This window comes from Homo sapiens, chromosome X, assembly GCF_000001405.40.
Source record: "Homo sapiens chromosome X, GRCh38.p14 Primary Assembly".
Classification (NCBI taxonomy): Eukaryota; Metazoa; Chordata; class Mammalia; order Primates; family Hominidae; genus Homo; species Homo sapiens.
The window spans coordinates 1,513,265-1,540,413 of NC_000023.11; the positions used below are offsets into that span (position 1 = coordinate 1,513,265).

The 27,149-nt window shown below is 45.8% G+C and overlaps 1 protein-coding gene across 6 annotated transcripts in view; it reads right to left on the reverse strand.

The window, feature by feature from the left end:
• Positions 1 to 23,921, reverse strand: part of P2RY8 (P2Y receptor family member 8) — a 74,605-nt gene extending 50,684 nt beyond the window's left edge. For all 6 annotated transcript variants that reach the window (NM_178129.5, NM_001424186.1, NM_001424188.1 and 3 more), the window contains exon 1: positions 23,657 to 23,921. The gene's annotated coding sequence lies outside the window, so the exon portion shown is untranslated. The remainder of the gene's footprint in view (positions 1 to 23,656) is intronic.

Genomic DNA, 27,149 nt, shown 5'->3' on the forward strand with positions numbered 1-27,149 from the left:
TATCATTGATGGGCATTTGGATTGGTCCCAAGTCTTTGCTATTGTAAATAGTGCTGCAATAAACATAGACCCGTGAAGATTATTACAATTCCAGGTGAGATTTGGGTGGGGATATAGTCAAACCATATCAACCATCCTCCCTGTGGAGGCTCTAGGGGAGGATCCCTCCTGCCTCTCCAAGCTCCTGGGGGCTCCAGGCATCCCTGGGCTTGTGGCCGCATCACTCCAGTGTCTGCCTCTGTCTCCACGTGGCCTTCTCCTCTGTGTCTGTGTCTCCTCTTCTGTCTCTTACAAGGACAGCTGTCATTGCATTTTGGGCCCACTCTAATCCAGAATGATCCAATCTCAAGGTCCTTAACTTAATGACATCTGCAAAGACCCTATTTCCAAATAAGGTCTTACAGACTCTGAGCATTAGGATATGGACAAATGTTTCTGGTGGCCACTATTCAATCCACTACAATTGTATCCAGTTCCTTCTGGGAGGCTCTAAGGGAGGATCCCTCCTGCCTCTCCCAGCTCCTGGGGGCTCCAGGCGTCCCTGGGCTTGTGGCCCCATCACTCCAGTCTCTGCCTCTGTCTCCCCATGGCCTCCTCCTCTGTGTCTGTGTCTCCTCTTCTGTCTCTCAGAAGTGAACCTGTCATTGGATTTTGGGCCCACCCTAATCCAGGATGATCTCATCCCAAACCCTTAAATCACATCTTCAAAGACTTTTTCAGCAAACAAAGTCCTGTTTCCAGGTTCCAGGGGGTTAGGGCATGGTCCTATCTTTTGCAGGTACGCACCATTGAACCCACTACACATAGCGTTAACAACTTGTGCCCGTTTTCCTTTAATTGTCCCACTTTTAGCCCTGAGGTTCTTGTGTCCTGAAAATACCTTATAAATCCAGGGCAAACCAAGATGGATTATCTCCCCACATCCAACACCTGCACAGGTAAGTACAATTCTGTTTAATCTTGATGTCTGCTCAGGCTGGCTCTTCTCTCTGCCTACCACAGCTGGGTTCTGTGCTTGGTATGGACACCCGCCCCTTTCCTTTCCTTTTCCTTTCCTTTCCATTTCTTTCCTTTCCTTCCCTTCCCTTTTATTTTCCTTTTCCTTTTCCTTTCCCTTCCCTCCCTTCCCTTCCCTTTCCTCCCCTCCCTTCCCTTCCCTTCCTTTCCCTTCTCTTCCCTTCCCTTCCCTCCCTTCCCCTCCTTTTCCTTTCCTTTTCCTTTTCCTTTCCCTTCCCTCCCTTCCCTTCCCTTTCCTCCCCTCCCTTCCCTTCCCTTCCTTTCCCTTCTCTTCCCTTCCCTTCCCTCCCTTCCCTTCCTTTTCCTTTCCCTTCCCTTCCCTTTCCTCCCCTCCCTTCCCTTCCTTTTCCTTTCCCTTCCCTTCCCTTTCCTCCCCTCCCTTCCCTTCCCTTCCTTTCCCTTCCCTTCCCTTCCTTCCCTTCCTTCCCTTCCTTCCCTTCCCTTCCCTTCCTTCCCTTCCTTCCCTTCCTTCCCTTCCCTTCCCTTTCCTTTCCTCCCCTCCCTTCCTTTTCCTTCCCTTCCCTTCCTTTCCTTTCCTTCCCTTTCCCTTTCCTTCCCTTTCCCTTTCCCTCCCCCTCCCCCTCCCCTTCCCCTGTCTTCCTCTCCCCTCCCCTTCCCCTCCCCTCCCCTTCCCTTCCCTTTGACAGAGACTTGCTCTGCTGTCCTGGCTGAAGTGCGGTGACACTACCTCAGCTCACTGTAACCTCAGCCTCCCTGGTTCAAGCAATTCTCCTGCCTCAGCCTCCCGAGTAGAGTAGCTGGGATTACAGGCACCCACCACCACACCCAGCTAATTTTTGTATTTTTAGTAGAGATGGGGTTTCACCATATGTTGCCCAGGCTGGTCTCGAACTCCTAACCTCAAACAATCCACCCACCTCGGCCTCCCAAAGTGCTGGGATTACAGGCATCAGCCACCGCGCCCAACCTGCCTTTTTCTTTTCTTTTATTATTATTATTTTTTAAAGATAAAAACAACTTTGTAGAGATAGAATTCCTACAGCATGCAATTCACCCATCTACAGTTCATTGGGTTTAGAACGTTAAGTTGTGCAAACACCTCCGCAGTCTATTTTAGGATATTTTCTTTCTTTCTTTTTTTTTTTTTTGAGACAGTTTTGCTCTTGTTGCCCAGGCTGGAGTGCAATGGCACAATCTCTGCTCACCGCAACCTCCGCCTCCCAGGTTCAAGCGATTCCCCTGCCTCAGCTTCCCGAGTAGCTGGGACTACAGGTGCCCGCCATCACACCCGGCTAATTTTGTATTTTTAGAAGAGATGGGATTTCTCCATGTTGCCCAGGCTGGTCTCGAACTCCTGACCTCACGTGATCCACCCGCCTCGGCCTCCCAAAGTGCTGGGATTACAGGCATCAGCCACTGTACCCAGCCATTTAGGATATTTTCATCACCCCAAAAAGAAATCCTATACCCTCTGGCTCTTACTCACTGCTATTGTCTGAAGGTTTATATCACCCCAAAATATATAGGTTTCAACCCTAAACCTCAGTATGCTGTCAGGAGGTGAGAGCTCTGGGGGAGATTAGGGTGGGATGAGTTTACAGCAGAGATGCTCCATGATGAGACAAATTTCCTTATAAGAACAGGAAGAGGGCCAGGCATGGGGGCTCATGCCTGTAATCCCAGCACTTTGGGAGGCCGAGGGGTCGGGGGGTGGTGGATCACCTGAGGTCAGGAGTTCGAGACCAGCCTGGCCAATATGGTGAAACCCTGTCTCTACTAAAAAAAAAAAAAAAAAATACTAAAAATTAGCCAGGCGCGGTGGCAGGCACCTGTAATCCCACCTACTTGGGAGGCTGAGGCAGGAGAATCGCTTGAACCTGGGAGGCGGAGGTTGCAGTGAGCGGAGGTTGCACCACTGCACTCCAGCCTGGGCAAAAAGAGTGAAACTCCACCTCAGAAAAACAAAACAACAACAAAAAAAAAACAGGAAGAGACCGCAGAGCATCCACGTACTCCCTCCTTCTCTCCCTCCCTCCATTCCTCCCTTCTTCACCCCTCTCCCACAAATATAAGCACAGAGAACAACCCTGTGGGGACACAGGGAGAAGACGGTGTCTACAAGCCCAGGAGAGAGGCCTCAGGAGGAACCAGCCCTGCCCACACCTGGATCTCAGACTTCCAGCCTCCAGGACTGTGGGAGAATCAATGTCTGTCGTTTCTAAGCCGCCCAGTCTATGGTGTTCTGTGATAGCAGCCTGAAATGGACTAAGAGATCTCATAAGAAGAGGAGATGAGGACACAGACACACACAGAGGGATGATCCTGTGAGGACACAGGGAGAAGATGGCGTCTCCAAGTCCAGGAGAGAGGCCTCAGGAGGAACCAGCCCTGCCTACACCTGGATCTCAGACCTCCAGCTCCAGGATTGTGGGAGAATCAACGTTTGTTGTGTATAAGTCACGCAGTCTATGGTATTCTGTGATAGCAGCCTGAAATGGACGAGAACATCTCATAAGAAGAGGAGATGAGGACACAGACACACACAGAGGGGCGACCCTGTGAGGACACAGGGGGAAGACGTCATCTACAAGCCAAGGAGAGAGTCCTCAGGAGGAACCAGCCCTGCCCGTTCGCTGATCTCAGACTTCCAGCCTCCAGGGCTGTGGGACAATCAATGTCTGTTGTGTATAAGCCACGCAGTCTATGGTATTCTGTGTTAGCAGCCTGAAGTGGACTAAGACACCTCATAAGAAGAGGAGATGAGGACACAGACACACACAGATGGACGACTCTGTGAGGACACAGGGAGAAAACAGCATCTACAAGCCAAAGAGACAAGCCTTAGGAGGAACCACCCCTGCCCACACCTTAATCTTGGATTTCCAGCCTCCAGGGCTGTGGGAGAATCAATGTCTCTTGTTTCTAAGCCACCCAGTCTATGGTATTCTGTGGTAGCAGCCTGAGATGGACTAAGACATCTCATAAGAGGAGGAGATGAGGGCACAGACACACAGAGAGGGACGACCCCGTGAGGACACAGGGAGGAGACAGCATCTACAAGCCCAGGAGAGAGGCCTCAGGAGGAACCAGCCCTGTCCACACCTGATGTCCAGCCTCCAGGAGAATCAAGGTCTGGCTTTTAAACCACCTCAGCCTTCAGCTTGGGCCCCCGCCCCATCCCACAAACACCCCCAACCTTGTCCGCCTCTGTGTGCCTTGTGGGCAGTCCCCAGTACATGGCCTTAGACTGCTGTTCCACCCTCCAGAGTCTCAGGATGAACTGGAAGGTATTAAGGAAGTCATCTGAGGGCTCTGAGCAAAATGGAAACTAATTTCAGTGGGAAAAGAGGATCTGCAGTGAGTGAGTCTGTTGAGCTCCGGCAGAGAAGAAGCCTGGTGTCAGGGTCCTTCTGCCTGAGCCTGTGGGGCCAGGTAATGTTAACAGGAAGCATGCTCAGACCCAAGCGAGGTCTCAGAAGATTTAAGGGAAGTTCAATCTTCACACGTGTCTCTGGTTTCCAGTAATATCTGGCCCCCAATATTCTCCCTGGTCCTCAATATTTTCTGGTTCTTAGTAATCTCTCGGCCACACGCGGTGGCTCACGCCTGTCATTCCAGCGCTTTAAGAGGCTGAGGTGGGCAGACCACCTGAGGTCAGGAGTTCGAGACCAGCCTGGCCAACATGGTGAAACCCCATCTCTACTAAAAATACAAAAATTAGCTGGGCGTGGTGGTGCGCACCTGTAATCCCAGCTACTCAGGAGGCTGAGGCGGGAGAATTGCTTGAACCTGGGAGGCGGAGGTTGCAGTGAGCCGAGATTTTGTCACTGCACTCCAGCCTGGGCAACAACAGCGAAACTCCATCTCAAAAAAAAATAAAAAAATAAATAAAAATAATCTTGGCCGGGCGCGGTGGCTCACGCCCGTCATCTCAGCACTTTGGGAGGCTGAGATGGGTGGATCACCTGAGGTCAGGAGTTCGAGACCATCCTGGCCAACATGGTGAAACCCCGTCTCTACTAAAAATACAAAAATTAGCCAGGCATGGTGGCAGGTGCCTGCAATCCCAGCTACTCGGGAGGCTGAGGCAGGAGAATGGCGTGAACCCAGGAGGCGGAGCTTGCAGTGAGCTGAGACTGTGCCACTGCACTCCAGCGTGGGTGACAGAGCGAGACTCCGTCTCAAAAAAAAAAAAATAATAATAATATAATAAAATATTAAATATTTAATATATATAATAAAAAATAATAATCTCTCTGGTCTGTAATATTCTCTGATTCCCCAAAAGCTCCCTAGTCCCCCAAAACCTGTCTGTTTCCCCAAAATCTTTCTGGTCTTTAATATTCTTGCTGGGCCCAATGGTCTCCCTGATCCTCAATATCCTTGCTGGGCCCTGATCATCTTGTTTGTCCCCAATCTTCTCTCTGGTTCCCTAAAATCTCTCCAGTCCCCTCAAATCTGTTTGGTTCTCCCTGGCCGCCAATATTCTCTCTAATCCTCAATATTCTCTGTGGTTCACAATAATCTTTCCAGTCTCCAGTATTCTTTCTGGTTCCCCAAAATCTTTCTAGTCCCCCAAATCCTGCCTAACTCCCAAAGCCTGTCTAATTTCCAATACTTCCATTAAGCCCCAATATTTTATCTGGTCTGCAATAATCTTCCTGATCCCCAATCATCTCCTTGGCCCCCAATAATCTTCCTGCCCCCAGTAATCTCCCTGGTCCTCAGTATTTTCTCAGATCCCCAATATTCTCTGTGGTCCCCAATCATCTCCTTGGTCCCTAATCTCTCTGGTCCCCAGTAATATTTCTGATCCCCAATATTCCTCTGGTCCCCAATAATCTTTCGGCTCCCCAATATTCTCTCTGATCCCCAATCATCTCCTTGGTCCCTAATAATCTCTCTGGTCCCCAATCACCTCCCTGATCCCCAGTAATCTCTGAGATCTCAATATTCTCTCTGAGCCTCAATATTCTCTCTGAGTCTCAATGTTCTCTCTTGTCCCCAATAATCTCTCTGGTCCCTAATAATCTCCCTGCTCCCCAATATTCTCTCCGATCTCCAATTATCTCCTTGGTCCCTAATAATCTCTCTGGTCTCCAATCATCTTTCTGATTCCAATATTCTCTCTGGTCCCCAATATTCTCTCTGGTCCCCAATAATCTCCCTGCTCCCCAATATTCTCTCTGATCTCCAATAATATCTCTGATCCCAATATTCTCTCTGGTTCCCAATAATCTCTCTGGTCCCCAATCATCTTTCTGATTCCCAGTAATCTCTCTGGTCCCAATATTCTCTCTGGTCCCCAGTCATCTCCTTGGTCTCCAATATTCTCTCCAATTTCTAATATTGTCTCTAATCCCCAATTATCTTCTTGGCTCCCAATCACCTCCCTGGTTTCTAATATTATCTCTGTTCCCCAATATTCTCTCTGATCCACAATCATCCCCTTGGTCCCTAATCATCTCTCTGGTTACCAATCATCTCCCTGGTCCCCAAGATTTTCTCTGATTTCTAATATTGTCTCTGATCTCCCCCAAATCTCCCTAGTTCCCAATATTTTCTCGGATCCCCAATCATATACTTGGTCCCTAATAATCTCCCTGATCCCCATCATCTTCTTGATCTCTAATAATCTCTCTGGTCCCCAAAAATCTCCCTGGTTCCCAATAGTCTCTCTGGTCCCCAATCATCTCTCTGGTCCCCAATAATCTCTCTGGTCCCCAATATTTTCTCTGATCTCCAATTATCACCTTGGTCCCTAATAATCTCTCTGGTCCTCAATCATCTCTCTCTGGTCCCCAATAATCTCTCTGGTCCCCAATATTCTCTCTGATCTCCAATTATCACCTTGGTCCCTAATAATCTCTGGTCCCTAATCATCTTTCTGACCCCCAATAATCTCTGTGGTCCCCAATATTCTCTGTGCTCCTCAATTATGTCCTTGGTCCCTAATAATCTGTCTGGTCCCCAATCATCTTTCTGATCCCCAATAATCTCTCTGATCCCAATATTCTCTCTGGTCCCCAGTCATCTGCTTGGTCTCCAATATTCTCTCTGATCTCTAATATTGTCTCTAGTCCTCAATCATCTTCTTAACCCCAATAATGTCCCTGGTTTCCAACATTATCTCTGGTCCCAAGTATTCTCTCTGATCCCCAATCATCTCCTCGGTCTCTAATAATCTCTCTGGTCCCCAATATTCTCTCTGGTCCCCAATCATCTTCTTAGCCTCTAATAATCTCCCTGATCCCCAATATTCTCTCTGGTCCCCAATCATCTCTCTGATCCCCAATAATCTCTCTGATCCCCAATATTATCTCCGATCCTCAATTATCTCATTGGTCCCTAATAATTTCTCTGGTCCCCAATCCTCTCCCTGATCCCCAATAATCTCTCTGATCCCAATATTCTCTCTGATCCTCAGTCATCTCTTTGTTCTCTAATAATCTCCCTGGTCTCCAATATTCTGTCTGATTTCTAATATTATCTCTGGTCCTCAATCATCTTCTTGTCTCCCAATAATCTCCCTGATCCCCAATAATCTCCCTCATCCTCAATATTTTCTCTGATTTCTAATATTGTCTCTGGTCCCCAATAATCTCCATAGTACCCCCAAATGTCCCTGGTTCCCAATAATTTCCCTTGTCCCCAATAATCTCCTTGATCCCCAATCATCTCCTTGGTACCTAATTATCTTCCTGGTCCCCAATCACCTCTTTGGCCCCCAATCATCTCCTTGGCCCCCAATCATCACCCTGCTCCCCAATATCCTCTCTGATTTTTCTTTTCTTTTTTTTTTTTTTTTTTTGAGACAGAGTCTCACACTGTCGCCAGGCTGGACTGCAGCGGTGCGATCTGAGCTCACTGCAGCCTCCAACTCTCTGGTTCAAGGGATTCTCCTGCCTTAGCCTCCTGAGTAGCTGGGATTACAGAGCTGGGTTTACAGGCATGCTCCACCACGTCCAGCTAATTTTTGTATTTTAGTAGAGACGGAGTTTCACTATATTGGCCAGGATGGTCTCCATCTCCTGACCTCGTCATCCGCCCGCCTTGGCCTCCCAAAGTGCTGGGATTACAGGCATGAGCCACCGCGCCCGGCCTTTATCCTCTCTGATTTCTAATATTCTCTCTGTCCCCAATAATATCTCTGGTCCCCAATATTCTCTCTGATCCATCACCCCTCTCTTATGGTCCACTGTAATCCTTATGCTCCACTTTAATCCGTCCCAGTATGGACAAACCCTAAGATCATTGAGTACCCAGCATGGAACACGGCTTGCAACCACTGTCACCCTGGCATCAGCAGGAACCTTGGCATCAAAGTCACAGGCCGGAGGACACTCTGCATTTGTCTGCAGGAAGTCAATTCACTTGGACCCTGCCTGCAGGAATGTGGACCGTCAGTCATTTGCATGAGTGCTTAGAAACGGCAAAGGAAGGTGTGTTTACTTAGAAGTGAGTTGCATGGGGTGAAGGAAGCCAGTCAGCCGCACCTCAGCTGGGTATTTGGTGGTATTTGGTGGAGGTTTCAGAAACTCCCCTTCCTTTGCTTCCGGTGAGCGTGACGGACAACCTCCTAATTCCTGTGCAGCCCGAAAAGGGTCCCGCGAAGAGTGTTTATAGCCCAGAATGAGGAAGTGAGACAAGGGGTATTGCATGGTTATTTTTTCTTATGTCTTTCTCTTTCTCTCTCGCTCTCTTTTTTTTTTTTTTTTTTTTTTTTTGAGATGGAGTTTTGCTCTTGCTGCCCAGGCTGGAGTGCAATGGTGCGATCTCGGCTCACCGCAACCTCCGCCTCCCGGGTTCAGGTGATTCTCCTGCCTCAGCCTCCCGAGTAGCTGGGATTACAGGCATGCACCACCATGCCCAGCTAATTTTTTGTATTTTTAGTAGAGACGGGGGTTTCACCATGTTAGCCAGGCTAGTCTCGAACCCCTGACCTCAGGTGATCCACCCGCCTCAACCTCCCAAAGTGCTGGGATGACAGGCGTGAGCCACCATGCCCCGCCCTCTTTTTCTCGCTTAAAAAAAAAAAGGTGAGGTTTACATAATGAAATCAATCATTGTAAACGGAATACCTCAGGGGGATTTATTGCATTCATGCCTCCGTGCAGCCAATACCTCGATGTAGTTTCAGAATATTTTCCTCACCTCCCACACACGTGTGTATTGTAACTTTAAATGCAATCCTCAGATGACAAGGCTCGGAATCGTCGTGCACGCACAGAGATTCAACAACCAAGATGCGATAATTATAGTACACTGGCCAGGCACGTTGTCTCATGCCTCTAGTCCCAGCACCTTGGGAGGCCAAGGCAGGAGAGTGGCTTCAGGCCAGGAGTTCAAGATGAGCCTAGGCAACATAGCAAGACACTTTCATTAGCCGGGCGTGGTCAGTGCCTGTAATCCCAGCTACTTGGGAGGCTGAGGTGGAAGGATTGCTTGAGGCCAGGAGTTAGAGGCTGCAGTGAGCTATGATGAAGTCACTGCACTCCAGCCTGGGCAACAGAGCAAGACTCTGCCCCTAAAAATAAAAATTAAGGCCGGGCGTGGTGGCTCACACCTGTTATCGCAGCACTTTGGGAGGCTAAGACAGGCGGATCACTCGAGGTCAAGAGTTCGAGACCAGCCTGTCCAATATGGCGAAACCCCATCTCTACTAAAAATACAAACATTAGCTGGGCATGGTGCCACATGCCTATAATCCCAGCTACTCGGGAGGCTGAGGCAGGAGAGTCACTTGAACCCGGGAGGCAGAGGTTGCAGAAAGCCGAGATTGCACTACTGCACTCCAGCCTGGGCGACAGAGAGAGACTCCATCCCCCACTGCCAAAAATAAATAAATAAATAAATAAATAAATAAATAAATAAATAAAACAAAAATTGAAAAAAATAAAAAAAAGATATAGCAAATAGTTTGGAGTAGCAGTTAAGGGTGTGACCTTTGTGGCTGGTGCAGTTGGAGGTAATGCCCCAGCCAGGTGAGGGTGTGCCTTCCTTTCTGTGTCCCTCAGTTTCCCCTAAGCAAAATGGGGATGTCAGCAGAGCTTTCTCAAAGGGTGTCACTTTAGTCCCTAAAATCTTCCCTGTTCCCCAATATTCTCCCTGGTACCTAATCGTCTCCTTGGTCCCTAATCATCTCCCTGGTCCCCAATATTCTCTGAGTTTCACAATTCTTGCATTTAGCATAGAATTTTTGAGGTTCATCCATATTGTAGCGGTATCAATACTTTCTTCCCATTTAGGCTGAAAAATATTGCAGATTTGTGATTGCCAGAGGGAGGAGGGAAGGGAGAAGTGGGAGCGATTGCAAATAGGTACAGGTCTCCTTCTGAGCGTCATAAAAATGTATTGGAAGTACACAGAGGTGATGATTGTACAACACTCTGAACGAGCTAAATACCACTGCGTTGTATTGAAGATGGTAAATTTATTATTATTATTATTTATTTCTTGAGACGGAGCCTCCCTCTGTCGTCCAGCCTGGAGTGCAGTGGCACGATCTGTGTTCATCACAACTTCCGCCTCCCGGGTTCAAGCGATTCTCCTGCCTCAGCCTCCCCAGTAGCTGGGATTATAGGTGCCGCACCACCACGCCCGGCTAATTTTGTATTTTTAGTAGAGACAGGATTTCACTAAAAAACCCTGTTGGCCAGGCTGGTCTGGAACTCCTGACCTCAAGTGACCCACCTGCCTTGGCCTCCCAAAGAGCTGGGATTACAGGCATGAGCCACTGTGCCCGGCAAAGATGGTGAATTTTGTTATGTGAATTTCACCTCAATAAATTAAAACAAATAAAACAGCAGTATTTATTTTGGTGACTGAGTTTTTTGGCATTGGAGTGTCTACACGTCTCCCCGTAACCCCGTTCCTGTTTGATTTTCTCATCTGCAATGTAGCGATGGGGTAGAATTGGGTCTTGTACTCAGGGTTGTTTCAAGAGTTTGATGGTGTGGGGGGAGCATTGAGAATGTCCCTTTGTACACAGTAGGCTTGTCACACTTGCCAGCTGCTTACCCCCCTCTCTTCTGCGGATCCACTCATCCCTTTATTCACTCATTCATCCGCTCATTCATTCCTCATCCATCCATGCATCCATCCATTCATCCATCCATCCATCCATCCACTCATCCATCCATCCATCCATCCCTCCATCCATGCATGCATCCATCCATCCATCCATCCATCCATCCATTCATCCATCTATCCATCCATCCATCCATCCATTCATCCACTCATCCATCCATACATCCACGCATCCATCCATCCATCCATCCATCCATTCATCCATCCATCCATCCATCCATGCATGCATCCATCCATCCATCCATCCATCCATCCATCCATCCATTCATCCATCTATCCATCCATCCATCCATTCATCCATCCATCCATCCATACATCCATCCATCCATCCATCCATTCATCCATCCATCCATCCATCCATCCATCCATCCATCCACTCATCCATTCATCCATCCATCCATACATCCATGCATCCATCCATCCATCCATCCATCCATCCATCCATCCATCCACTCATCCATTCATCCATCCACTCATCCATCCATCCATCCATCCATCCATCCATCCATCCATCCATCCACTCATCCATTCAACCATCCACTCATCCATCCATCCATCTATCCATCCATCCATCCATCCATCCATCCATCCACCCACCCATCCATCCACTCATTCATTCACCTGTCTACAGTGAGGGTCTGTGTCCATTCAGCTGCTCAAGAAGGTGGTCTCAGGGTGGGGGCAGCTTCTTCACCCTCTCATAGTCCTGTAGCCAGGGTCTGTCACCTTGCAGGGAGTTGTGCTCCACAGCAGTGCAGAGGGTTTGAGTGGGGACCCCCCAAAATCCCTATTGGTGCAATAAATCCTCTCTCCTCCTCTGATTAGGCCAAGGAGCTCAGTGTTTTGTGAAGAATTTGTTTGGAGAGTGTTTTGAGTTGGATTGCATCCCTTTGAAAGACACATTCAAAGCCTCAACATAGGTACCTGTGAATATAGGACCTTATTTGGAAATAGGATCTTTGCAGATGGGATTAAGGTGTAAGTTAGGATGACATCATACTGCATTTGGGTGGGGACTTAATCCTATGGGACTGGGGTCCTTCTAAGAAGAGACTGGGACGCAGACATGCACAGAGGGAAGATTGCTGTGTGAAGACAGAGGCAGAGATTGGAGGGAGGCATTCCCAAGCCCAGGGACGTCAAGGATGGCAGAGGATCAGAAGCTGGAGAGACGCAGGAAAGATTCTCCCCAAAGCCTCAGAAACAGTATGCATTAATTCGGGGCAATTGACTGGAAATCAGCTCCTTTCTTGTTTCATCCGTCTATTCACCTATTGACTCAATCATGCATCCATCCATTCATCCATTCATCCATCCATCCACCCATGAATTCATTTATCCATGTATGTATTCATGCATCCATTCATTCACTCATTCATTTATCCATCGGTTCATTCATCCACTCACTCATTCCTTATCCATCCACTCATCCATCCATCTGTCCATCCATCCATCCATCCATTTATCCATACATCCACTATTCATTCGCCCATTCATTTATTCATGCATCCATTCATTCACTCATTCATCTATTCATTCATTCATTTATTCCTTATCCATCCACTCATCCATCCTTCCATTCATCCATCCATCCATCCATTCAGTCATCCATCCACTTATCAATACACCCACTATTCACTCACCCATTCATTTATTCATGCATCCATTCACTCACTCATTCATTTATTCATTCATTCCTTATCCAGCCGCTCATCCATCCATCTATTCATCCATCCATCCATCTACTCAGTCATCCATCCATTTATCAATACACCCACTATTCAGACACCCATTCATTTATTCATGAATCCATTCGTTCACTCATTCATTCATTCATTCATCCACTCATTCATTCCTTATCCATCCACTCATCCATCCATCTGTTCATCCATCCATCCATTTATCCATACATCCACTATTCATTCACCCATTCTTTCATGCATCCATTCATTCACTCATTCATTCATTCCTTATCCAGCCGCTCATCCACCCATCCATTCATTCATCCATCCATCCATCTACTCAGTCATCCATCCATTTATCAATACACCCACTATTCACTCACCCATTCATTTATTCATGCATCCATTCATTCATTCATTCATTCATTCGCTCATTTATTCCTTATCCAGCCACTCATCCATCCATCCATTTATCCATCCATCCATCCATTCAGTCATCCATGCATGGATGGATGGATGCATCCACCACTCATCCATCCAAAACTCACTCATTCATCCATTCATTCATTTATGCCTTTAATCATTCACCCATTTATTCAGTAATTCATTTATGCATCCACTCATTTATCCACTCATTCATTCCTTATCCATCCACTTATTCAGCATTCATCCATCCATCCATCCATCCAATTCATCCATCTATCCATCTATACAGCCATCTACTCATTCATTCATCCATTTACTTACTCATCCATCCATTAATTCATTTATCCATGTGTTTATTCATGCATCGATGAATTCACTCATTCATTTACCCACGCATTCATTCAGCATCTATTTATTCACTAAATCATTTATTCATCTATTCATTCATTTCTTTTCTTTTCTTTTCTTTTTGAGACCGAGTTTCACTCCTGTTGCCCAGGCTGATGTGCAACAGCTCGATCTTGGCTCATTGCAACATCTGCCTCCCGGGTTCAAGGGATTCTCCTGCCTCAGCCTCCCAAGTAGCTGGGATTACAGGCGCCCACTACCACGCCTGGCTAATTTTTGTATTTTTTAGTAGAGACGGGGTTTCACCACGCTGGCCAGGCTGGTCTTAAATTCCTGACCTCAGGTGATCCGCCTACCTCAGACTCCCAAAGTGCTGGGATTACAGGCGTGAGCCACCGCGCCCAGCCTATTCATTCATTTCTTATCCATCCACCTACCTATCCATCTGTTCATCCGTCCATCTATTTATTCATTCATCTACTCATTCATTCATTCATCCACTTATTCATTCCTTATCCATCCACTCATCTATCCATCCATCCATCCATCCGTTTATCCATCCACTTATCCATACATCCACTATTCATTTGCCCATTCATTTATTCATGATCCATTCATTCACTCATTCATTTATCTATTCATTCATTCATTTATTCCTTATCCATCCACTCATCCATCCATCCGTTCATCCTTCAATCCATCCATTCAGTCATCCACCCATTTATCAATACACCCACTATCATTCACCCATTCATGTATCTATTCATTCAATCATTTATTCCTTATTCATCCACCTATCTATCCATCTGTTCATCCATCCATCCATTTATTCATTCATCTACTCATTCATTCATCCATCCAATCATCCCTTCATTCATTCATTCATCCACTCATTCATTCCTTATCCATTTACTCATCTATCCATCCATCCATCCATCCATCCATTCATCCATTCATCCACTCTTCATTCACCTGTCTACATATCCATCCATCCACTCACTAATGTACTAATCCACTCATTCACTCATTCATTCATTTATTCATTCACCCATCTATTTATGCAGCCATCCATTCAACCATCCAACAAACAGTACTGAGGCCATGTTAATCTATTCTGGTCTCTCATCTACAAAGTCACAGCCCCTACAGGGACCCTGCTCATTCATTCCCTGTGGCTGAGACTGAAGGGGTATCTCCTGTTTCTATTCCACGTGTGGCCACCTGCTGGTCTGTCCCTGTCCTGAGTGCAGGAGTAGTCTCATTCTCCTCCACCCCAAGAACAGATGAGTGATAAATAAATACCTGGAGACAGAATGCCTCCAACCCCAGGGTAATAGCCTGAGTATCCTAGAAGTTTCCTGTGTTCATGCCAAGAGCTTGTGATGGACATATGGACACTGTAGATGGACAACAGCGCCTTCACTGAGCAGCTAGTGCCTGGGAGGCCTCCAGCTTCACTGAGCCTCAGGTTTCATCTATTGCATCTCACAGAGAGGCTGTCTGCAACATGCCCATTTCAACCACTGGCTGAGAGGCTCATGCAGGTATGCATGTGACAGGGCTCCTTGCTGGAGAGTGGGTTCCTGGAGATTCCATCAGAGCTACTGCTGCACAACTGCCCCTTGAGGAGGCCATCACAGCTCTGAGCAGCAGGCGCTGCCAGTCAGCACCGTGTGAACTCAAAGTCTTGCATTCATCCTCATACGACATCTTCAAAACCACTTTAAACGTCCCAGGGAAGCCCGGAGGAGCAAGTGCTTCCAAGAGGCTGGCTCTGGTCTTTGGATTGAGTGTGGATTTGAGTCTCTTTGAATGAGTGTGGATTTGAGTTTCTTTGAATGAGTGTGGATTTGAGTCTCTTTGAATGCGTGTGGGTTTGAGCCTCTTTGAATGATTGTGGACTTGAGTCTCTTTGAATGAGTGTGGATTTGAGTCTCTTTGAATTCGTGTAGGTTTGAGTCTCTGAATGAGTGGACTTGAGTCTGTTTGAATGAGTATGGATTTGAGTCTCTTTGATTGCGTGTGGGTTTGAGTCTCTTTGAATGAGTGTGGATTTGAGTCTCTTTGAATGAGTGTGGACTTGAGTCTCTTTGAATGAGTTGGATTTGAGTCTCTTTGAGTGTGGATTGGAGTCTCTGAATGTGCGTGGATTTGAGTCTCCTCATTCCTGCACTTTTTCAGTTCCCTTTGTTGCATGGGACAGTATAAATGACGCTCCCCATTGATCCAGTTTTGCAAGTAAAAATGTCACATGTGGAAGCCAGCATTTAGTCCTCGGGCAGATAAGCATGTTTGATGAGAATAACACGTACACACAGCGGGGCCCTTGGTCTTGGAAAGGTGGAGAATAAATCCTCCATTTCCCCTGAGACCTGACCTGCACAGGGAATATCTGCTTAATCTACACATGTGTGGCTTGTAACGACAGAGTCTCTTCAATTCTACTTACTTTATTATAGTAACAAGAGCATGCATACAGCACATTGGGAGATGGAGAAATGGAAGGAAGTGATCCAGAGTCCCTTGACCCAGCCCATTCTCTCCCTGAGACCTGGGGGATGGGACATGATCTTGCTTCTCCTTCCAGGTCTCTGGAAGGATCATCTTGTCTTATCTTGCCTGCCTCTCACCCTGTGGTTCAGAATTGCGGGAGATTCTGTTCCAGTGGGGATGCTTGTCTATATCTTGGGCAGTTTGGGGTGTCACAACTGGAGGGTGTACTCCTGGGGCGTGGTGGGTGGAGCCTGGGAAGATGCTCAGTGCCCTGCAGTGCACAGGATAGGCTCAACACAGAGAATCCTCCAGCCCTACATGGCAGCAGTGCTGAGGCTGACACCCTGCCTGAGCATGAGAGAGTCTCTGTTAGTGACTATCTATCCATCTATATCTATCTATCATATCTATCATTTATCAATTTATCTATATATCATATCTAGCTCTCTGGCACCTATATCTATTTATTTATTAATCTTCTCTGTCTGTCATCTATCTATACCTTTCTAGCATTTATCTCTCATCTCTATCATTTATCTGCCTACCATTTGACAGTGGTTTCAACTAGGGGTGATTTTTCTCATCACGGCACACTGGGTAATGTCTGAGGACAGTTCTGGTTGTCGCAACTGTGGGGGTGCTCCTGGCATCTGGTGGGTGGATCCCGGGGATGCTTCTCAATACCTTACACTGCACAGGATGGCCCCACCACAGAGAATCACCCGGCCCCAAATGTCTATAGTGTTGACGTGGAAAGATCCTGCTTTTAGTATAGAGAATCTCTCCTCTCTCTCTCTCTCTCCGTCATCCATCTATGTATCCATGTATCTATGTATCTATGCATCTATGTATGTATGTATGTATGTATGTATGTATGATCTATCTATCTATCTATCTATCTATCTATCTATCTATCTATCTATCTATCTATCTATGTATCCATGTATCTATGTATGTATCTATCTATCTCTATTACCTATCATCACCATTATCTATCTATCTATCTATCTATCTATCTATCTATCTATCTGTCATCTATCTATATGTATGTACATATCTATCTATCTTATCTATTGCTCATCTATCTAGGTATCTCTCTAATCTATCATCTATCTCTCTAATCTATTAATGCACCTATGTATGTATCTATGTATCTATCTATCTAATCTATTTATCCATGTATGTATGTATGTATCTACCTATCTAATCTATGTATGTATGTATATATGTATCTAATTTATGTACGTACATATGTATGTATCTATTCTATCTATGTATCTATCTATCTGATTGATCTATCTCTCTATCATCACCATTATCTATCTATATGTATGTGTGTATCTATCTATCCTATCTATCTATCTCTCATCTATCTATGTATCTCTCTAATCTATCATCTATTTAATCTATGCATCTATATATCTATCTATCTAATCTATTTATCCATGTATGTATGTATCTATCTAATCTATGTATGTATATATCTATCTAATTTACGTATGTATCTTTTCTATCTATCTCTATTATCTATATATCTATCTGTCTATCATCACCATTATCTATCTATATCTATGTATGTATTGTCTATTCTATCTCTCATCTATCTATATATCTCTTTAATCTATCATCTATCTATCTAATCTATGCATGTATCTATGTATCTATCTATCTAATCTATTTATCCATGTATGTATGTATGTATGTACCTATCTAATTTATGTATGTATGTATATATCTATCTATTCTATGTATCTATTTATCGATTCTATCTATCTGTCTGTCTGTCTGTCTATCTATCTATCTATCTATCTATCTATCTAATTTGTCACCCATCTATCTTTAAGACAGTGATAGATGAGCAAGTGATTTTGCTACCTGGAGACATTGAGTAATATCTGGAGACATTTCTGATTGTCACAACTGTGGGTGCTCCTGGCACCTTGTGGCTGGAGCCCAGGGACGCTGCTCTACACCCTACAATCCCCAGGATGGCCCCACCACAGGGAATTCCCCCGCCCCAAATGTCACTAGTGCTCCAGCAGACAGCCTGTGCCTTTTGTGTCTCATGAATGGTTCTATCCCAAGATCTGTCCTTGCCCCATCTTCCTGCATGCCCTCTCCATCAGGGGTCCCCCTGCTTACAGGGTCCCCCGTAAACAATGTCCAGGCCCCCTCCCAGCCTGACTGTGCCCAGCCCGAGGGGTTAGCATGCTCAGCCCACCCCCAGCTCATGAACTCCTGGGGAGCCTGGACAGCACATTGCCATTCCACCAACTCATCATCCGAAACCAACACAGCCTGGCACCTGCCACCTGCTTCTGTCTGTGCCACTCCCTGCCCAGCCATGGAGAGTCTCATAGGACTCCTCCCTCCCATGGAGACCTTCTTGGCTAGAAAATCACACATCCTGCTTCCACAAAGTCCCTCTGCTCAGGGCACCAGCACCTTTCCCCTGGAGCAGGGCACTCTGCACAAAAGCATCAACGCAGTCCTCAAGGTCCCAGCCCGGCTCAGCGGCATGAAAACACGCTCAACATCACGAATGATCAGGGAAATGCAAATCAAAAGCAGAATGTGACATCACCTCACTCCTGCAAGAATGGCCACAATCAAAACATCAAGAAATAGCAAATGCTAGTGTGGATGTGGCGAACAGGGAACACGTCTGCACTGCTGGTGGGAACGTAAACTAGTACAGCCACTATAGAAGACAGTGTGGAGAGTCCTTAAAGAGCTAAATGTAGAACTACCATTTGATCCAGCAATCCCACTGCTGGGTATCTAGGTAGAGGAAAGTAACTCATTATATGAAAAAGATACTTAGAGGAAAGTAACTCATTATACGAAAAAGATACTTGCACAGGCATGTTTATAGCAGCACAATTTGCAATTGCAAAAATGTGGAACCAACCCAAATGCCCATCAATCAACAGGTGGATAAAGAAACTGTGGTGTATTTATATATATAAATGCCGGCACTGACACACACACAAACACACACACATATATGTCATATATATGTGTGCCATATATATACACACACGTATATATACACATATATGTATATGATGTGTATATATACACATATACGTATATGATGTGTGTATATGCACATATATGTATATATGTATATGATGTGTATATATACACATATATGTATATATGTATATGTGTATATATACACATATATGTATAGATGTATATGTGTATATATACACATATATGTATAGATGTATATGATGTGTATATATATATACATATACTTATGATGGAATACTACTCAGTCATGAAAAAGAATAGCATTTGGAGTGGCCTGGATGAGATTGGAGACTATTATTCTAAGTGAAGTAACTCAGGAATGGAAACCCAAACATCGTATGTTCTCACTCATAAGTGAGAGCTAAGCTATGAGGATGCAAAGGCATAAGAATGCCACAACGGCCGGATGCGGTGGCTCACACCTGTCATCCCAGCACTTTGGGAGGTCGAGGTGGGCAGATCACAAGGTCAGGAGTTTGAGACCAGCCTGGCCAATATGGTGAAACCCCGTCTCTACTAAAAATACAAAAATTAACCGGGTGTGGTGGCACATGCGTGTAATCCCAGTTACTCAGGAGGAGGCTGAGGCAGGAGAATCGCTTGAATCCGGGAGAAGGAGGTTGCAGTGAGCCGAGATCGCGCCACTGCTCTCCAGCCTGGGCAACAGAGTGAAACTCTGTCTCAAAAAAAAAAAAAAAAAAAAAAACGAAAGAAAGAAAAAAGAAAAAAAAAGGAATGACACAAAGGACTTTGGGAACTCCAGGGCAAAGATTGGGGAGAGGATGAGGGATAAAAGGCCACAAACCGGGTTCAGTGTATACTGCTTGGGTGACGGATACCCTGAAATCTCACACATCACCACTAAAGAACTTCCTCGTGTAACCAAATGGCACGTGTTTCCCCAAAACCTATGGAAGTAAAAAGTGTAAAACAAACCAACAAAAACACACATCAGCTTCTGAAAAAATCTTCTGAGGAGTGTGCTTTCTTGAGGCAAATAAAAGAGATTGCCAAAAATAATATATATATATTCATATATTACATATTTACATATTTATTATTTAAACATATATTTATGTATTTTTTATTATTTATATATTATATATTTATATATTTATTATTTAAATATATTGTATATTTATATATTATTTATTCTTTATATCTTATATACTTATATATTTATTATTTAAATGTATTGTATATTTATATTTTATTTATTATTTATATATTATATACTTATATATTTATTATTTAAATATATTATATACTTATATATTTATTATTTAAATATATTATATATTTATATATTATTATTTACATATTTATTATTTACATATTTATTATTTAAATATATTTTATATTTATATATTATTTATATATTATATACTTATATATTCATTATTTAAATATATTATTCATATATTATTTATTATTTATATATTATATACTTATATATTTATTATTTAAATATACTATATATTCATATATTATTTATTATTTATATATTATATACTTATATTTATTTAAATATATTATGTATTTATATATTATTTATTATTTATATATTATATACTTATATATGTATTATTTAAATATATTATATATTCATATATTATTTATTATTTACATATTACATAGTTATATATTTATAACTTAAATATATTATATATTTATATATTATTTATATATTACATATTTACATATATTATATACTTATCTATTTATTATTTACATATATATTTGTATATTATTTATATATAATATATTTACATATATATTTATATATAATATATTTACATATATTATATATTTATATATATTTACATATATATTTATATACAATATATTTACATATATTATATATTTATATATATTTACATATATATTTATATACTTACTATTTATATATTATATATTATTTATATATAATTATTTATATAATTATATATGTAATACATATATATATACACACACACAGATAGGTGTATCTGTTGCTTTATCCTAAGTGAACACAGATACTGCATCACTAGGGAGCGACATTGTGAACCGCAGAACACTCCCTGCAGTCCCCTGAGCTCAGTCTGGTCCTTGGGGGTGATCCTGGGGGCACCCATCACGCCCACGCCCTTTCCGTACCTTAACAGGTGTAGGCAGGGTGTTGTGTGTCTCCCAGGGGCCGTGCAGAATCTCCTAACCCGAGAGAGGAAGAGCAGGGTTCCAGGTGGACACTGGGATCCCTGGACCCTGCCCCGCCCACCCCACTGCCTCTAGGGACAGAAGAGGGGCTGGGGGAGGGAGGTTGGGGACCATGCCCAGACACAGCCAATGAGGAGGTCCTGATGGAGAGGCAGGGCTGAAGGAGAGGGCGCAGGAGAGAGACTCAGACGAGAGGGGGCCATCTGCCCGGGGAAAGGGCCTCTCCAAGCGCAGGGCTGTACGTATGCACCACTGGCAACAGCTACCCTGCTGTTGTTAATCCTAAGCCATCGCTTCTTCCCTGGAACTTTAAGGGACAAACTCAGAACTGCAGTGTGGGTAGGGTTGGAGGGAGGGAGCGTCTCTGTGGTTCTCCAAGGGGACCTCACCTCTCCCACCCACCCCAAGGTTGGTCAGTCTGAATGGTGCAGCCAGGCGGGGACCTGGCAGAAGGCATCTGAAAAGCATGTGCTTTTACAAACACAGGGTTGCCCACCGTCCCGTACGTCCCATGCACGCCTCTCTCAGCCTCTGACCTAATTGTCCTCTTGTGGGGTGGGGGAGGCCAATATTTGGGAAAAGGGGCAGCATCCTGGTGCACGTAGGACGCTGGCACCTGTCTGGCAGTGCCTAAATGAAAGTACTGCTTTTCCAATGTGGGATAATTCCTTTTTTTTTTTTTTTTTTTTTGAGACAGAGTCTCACTCTGTCACCCAGGCTGGAGTGCAGTGGCGCGATCTTGGCTCACCGCAACCTCCGCCTCCTGGGTTCAAGTGATTCTGCTGCCTTAGCGTGCCGAGTAACTGGGATGACAGGTGCCCGCCGCCACACTCGGCTAATTTTGGTATTTTTAGTAGAGACGGGGTTTCACTATGTTGGCCAGGCTGGTCTCAAACCCCTGACCTCAAGTGATCCACCCACCTCGGCCTCCCAAAGTGCTGGGATTACAGGCGTCTGTCACCGCCGTAAACACAAAATATGCTACTATCTGGCGCTGCTTGCCAAAGTCAAGTGGGCTATGCAAGGAGGAACGGAACGGGAAGGAGAGATTGAACGGCGCAGTCAGGTGCACCTGCTTCCCCACGGGCTTCAGCTCCTCAGCGGTTTTCACTTAGGGCTCTCGCGCTTCAGACTTCTCATCCACGTTACGTAAAGATAACAACATGGGAAGAAACAACCACACACACACACACACACACAGACACACACACAGACACACACACACACACACACACAAACCCTTTTCTTTTTGGGAACAGAGCCACGTGACCATGGTTCCCCTTTATAGAAATGGGACCTAAAGCGCCACAGCAGGCCTTGTTGTGTGTGGCCTGAAATTCCCAGAGCAGCTCCCTCTGCCTTTTCTCAGCTTTTTAGGGGACAGATCTGACAAGACCCAAGGAATTGGGGTTTCTAAGCGGACCTGTACAAATGAGGTCTGAGGTGGCCGTGAGACCCGGGTCTGGGGTCTCCCTGGCACCGAGGGGGTGACGAGGGGCCACCGTGCTCATCCAGGCACCCATAGGGCTTTAAAACCCGTTTAATTTATGCTTACTCTTCCATTATTGGAACGCTAAGCATTTGGGAGTTATTTATATCCCACGGCTCAAGGTCATCGCCAAGGTCTCATTGCAAACATTGAAAAAACTGCAATCTCAGGCGTAAATGGGTTACGTGCAGCAGCCGCAGCTGCTTACCCTCTCTAAGGTTAACCTCAAGAGAGGCGCATTTCATGGAATGAGTTTTTTTTTGTTTTTTTTTTTCTAAACAGAGTCTCGCTCTGTCGCCCAGGCTGGAGTGCAGTGGCGTGATCTCTGCTCACTGCAAGCTCCACCTCCAGGGATCATGCCATTCTCCTGCCTCAGCCTCCCGAGTAGCTGGGACCGCAGGCGCCCACCACCAAGCCCAGCTAATTTTTGTATTTTTAGTAGAGACGGGGTTTCACCGTGTTAGCCAGGATGGTCTCGAACTCCTGACCTCAGATGATCCACCCACCTCGGTCCCCCAAAGTGCTGGGATTACAGGCACCTGCCACCACGCCTGGCTAATTTTTGTATTTTTAGTAGAGACGGGGTTTCACCGTGTTAGCCAGGATGGTCTCGAACTCCTGACCTCGTGATCCGCCCACCTCGGCCTCTGAAAGTTCATGGAATGAGTTATTAAAGGAAGGGTGGCTTGCAGCCCTGGAAAATTTGAGCATTTCTCCCCTAAGTGACGAAGCGGCTGTGCAAAGTCTTCCTCCCAGGAAATTTGCACTCCTGGTCTGCTCTAGCGTGAGGAGAACACGCCTCATGGAGTTTGCACCGTCTTCCCCCATGTTCTCACCGTACACGGACCCTCCCAGCGACCCTGTCTTCTCCCTTGACAGTGCAGGACAAGCATAAAAGTCCAGCTCGGCGGCTCACCTGTGCAGAAGCAGCGGCAGAAGTAGCAGGTGAGAGCTCAGAGGGTCTCCAGGTAACAGGATGCAACGCTTAAGTCGACGGCCGTGCCTCAGAGCCCGGGACTCGGGGGGCCAGCCACCAGCTTGCAAGCCGTGGTCACTCAAAGTGCTTGAGAAGGTGTTCGTGGGCGGCAGACGGCTGCCCTTCCAGTTCCATCTGTCCAGCAACCTTGCAAAGGCGGCCGCTTCGCTGGGTGGCCCACCGGCTGGCACGACTGTCTCCGAATGCAAATTCTGCAAACTCCACCTCCCAGCGCACCACCACGGTTGCGACTCAGGCTTAGGTGGAAAGGAAGTGTGTTGTGACATTTCCTCTGTAACTGTCTGAACACTCATGTGCAGGGCTGAGCCCACTGGAGTAACGTCGCTGTGTCTCTGGGCAGCACCGTTAACCGCCCACCTCCCTATCACTGGCTCGCAGGGGGCCCTACTCTTAAGAGAACCCTGAGAGTGAGGAAAAGAGGGAGAATGATTTTTCTAAATTTTGTAACCAGCAGTGAAGAGCCGTGGCATGCTCCAGAACCGATTCCTGTTTCTTCTGAAATAACAAAACAAAACAAAGAAAGAACAGAACACGTTTCCTTTTAGACTCTAAAGCTGTGCTCATTGCGACATCTCTTGGTACACAGCCAGACTGTGACAAGCGAACAGACCTTGGGCACTGATCATTCCGGCTCTCACAGTTGGTCACGGGCGCTGCAGGCTCATATCCTCAACATCCCATGGGGGATCGGCCAGTTTCAGGAATGAGAACCAGGTTTCCGAGCTCTGGTATCCTTGCTTGTGAGGAGCAACGGTTGGTTCTTGTCACTCGTGGGAGGAGGTTGAGAGGGAAGGATCTGTCACTGAGAAAGAATGAATGAATATTGAACCACTGCTCAGGGAAAAGACATGGTAGAATCAATCCCTCAAGCCAGGCTGGGTGTGGTGGCTCACGCCTGTAGTCCCAGCACTTTGGGAGGCCAAGGCGGGTGGATCACTTCAGGTCAGGAGTTTGAGACCAGCCTGGCCAACATGGCGAAATCCCGTCCCTACTAAAAACACAAAAATTAGCTGGGTGTGGTGGTGGACACCTGTAGTCCCAGCTACTGGGGAGGCTGAGGCAGGAGAATCACTTGAACCTGGGAGGTGGAGGTTGCAGTGAGCCAAGATCAGGCCATTGCACTCCAGTCTGGGTGACAGTGAGACTGTCCCAAAAAACAAACAAACAAACAAAAAGACCAGGCCTGCTGGCTCACGCCTATAATCCCAGCACTTTGGGAGGCCAAGGCGGGTGGATCACTTGAGGTCAGGAGTTCGAGACCAGCCTGGCCAACATAGCGAAATCCCGTCCCTACTAAAAATACAAAAATTAGCTGGGCATGGTGGTGGATGCCTGTAATCCTAGCTACTGGGGAGGCTGAGGCAGGAGAATCACTTGAACCCGGGAGCTGGAGGTTGCAGTGAGCCAAGATCAGGCCATTGCACTCCAGCCTGGGTAACAGAGTGAGACTGTCTCAAAAAAAAAAAAAAAGTCGAGGCCTGGTGGCTCACACCTGTATTCCCAGCACTTTGAGGTGCCAAGGTGGGCCGGATCACTTGAGGTCAGGAGTTCGAGACCAGCCTGGCCAACATAGCGAAACCTGTCCCTTAAAAATACAAAAATTAGCTAGGCGTGGTGGTGGACGCCTGTAATCCCAGCTACTGGGGAGGCTGAGGCAGGAGAAGCATGTGAACCTAGGAGGTGGAGGTGGCAGTGAGCCCAGATTGGGCCATTGTACCCCAGCCTGGGTGACAGAGTGAGACTGTCTCAAAAAAAAAAAAAAAAAAAGGCCAGGCCTGGTGGCTCACGCCTATAATCCCAGCACTTTGGGAGGCCAAGGCGGGTGGATCACTTGAGATCAGCAGTTCAAGACTAGCCTGGCCAACATGGCGAAACCCTGTCTCTACTAAAAATACAAAAATTAGCTGGGTGTGATGGTGGGGGCCTGTAGTTCCAGCTACTGGGGAGGCTGAGGCAAGAGAATGACTTGAACCAGAGAGGCAGAGGTTGCAGAGAGCCGAGATCATGCCACTGCACTCCAGCCTGGGCAACAGAGAGAGACCCTGTCTCAAAAAAAAAAAAAAAAAAAATCAAAAGAATCCTTCAGGCCCCTGGTCACAGTGTTTTCTTCAACAGATCAATAAGTAGCTTTATATTATGTGTGTTTCTGTTTGAAAACACCTTATTAAGGAAATCGTTCTGTAAAAGGACATCCACACTCACAGTTCATCACAGCACTATTCACCATAGCAAAGACACAGAGTCAACCCAGGTGCTTATCCACCATGCATCGGATAAAGAAAATAGGGTACGTGACCGGCGGGTGCAGAGGCTCACGCCTGTAATCCCAGCAGTCTGGGAGGCCGAGGCAGGTGGATCACCTGAGGTCAGGAGTTCGAGACCAGACTGGTCAACATGGAGAAACCCCCTCTCTACTAAAAATACAAAAAATAATCTTGGCGTGGTGAAAGACACCTGTAATCCCAGCTATTTGGGAGACTGAGTCAGGAGGATCGCTTGAACCCGGGAGGCGGAGGTTGCAGTGAGCCGAGATCATGCCGCTGCACCCCAGCCTGGGCAACAAGAGCGAAACTCTGTCTCAAAAAATAAATAAATAAACAAATAAAAATAAAAAATAATAAAATGGGGTACATAGACACCATGGAATAGTACAAAGCTGTGAAAAAGAATGAAATCATGTCCTTTGCAGCAACTTGGATCCAGCCGGAGGCCATTCTCCAAAGTAAATTAATACAGAGACAGAAAGCCAAATACCGCATGTTCTCACTTATAAGCAGGAGGTAAACACAGGGTACTCATGGACATAAAGATGGGAACAACAGGCCAGGCGTGGTGGCTCATGCCTGTAATCCCAGCACTGTGGGAGGCCGAGGTGGGTGGATCACCTGAGGTGAGGAGTTTGAGACCAGCCTGACCAACATGATGAAACCCTGTCTGTACTAAAAACACAAAAATTAGCTGGGCATGGTCACAGACACCTGTAATCTCAGCTACTCGGGAGGCTGAGGCAGGAGAATCGCTTGAACCCGGGAAGAGGAGGTTGCAGTCGCTACTAAAAGTACAAAAATTACTCGAGCATGGTGGCACATGCCTGTAATCCCAGCTACTCAGGAGGCTGAGGCAGGAGAATCGCTTGAACCCTGGAGGTGGAGGTTGCAGTGAGCCAAGATCGCACCACTGCACTCCAGCCTGGGCAACAGGAGTGAAAATTCTGTCTCAAAAAAAAAAAAAAAGATGGGAAGAAGAGGCGTTACAGACTCCTAGAGTGGGGAGGGAGGGAGATGAAGGGCTGAAAAACTACCTACTGGGTGCTAAACTCAGTAGCTAGGTCATGAGATCATTCATACCCAAAATCTCAGCATCACACAAGATACCCTTGTAACAAACCTGCACATGTACCCCCGGAATCTAA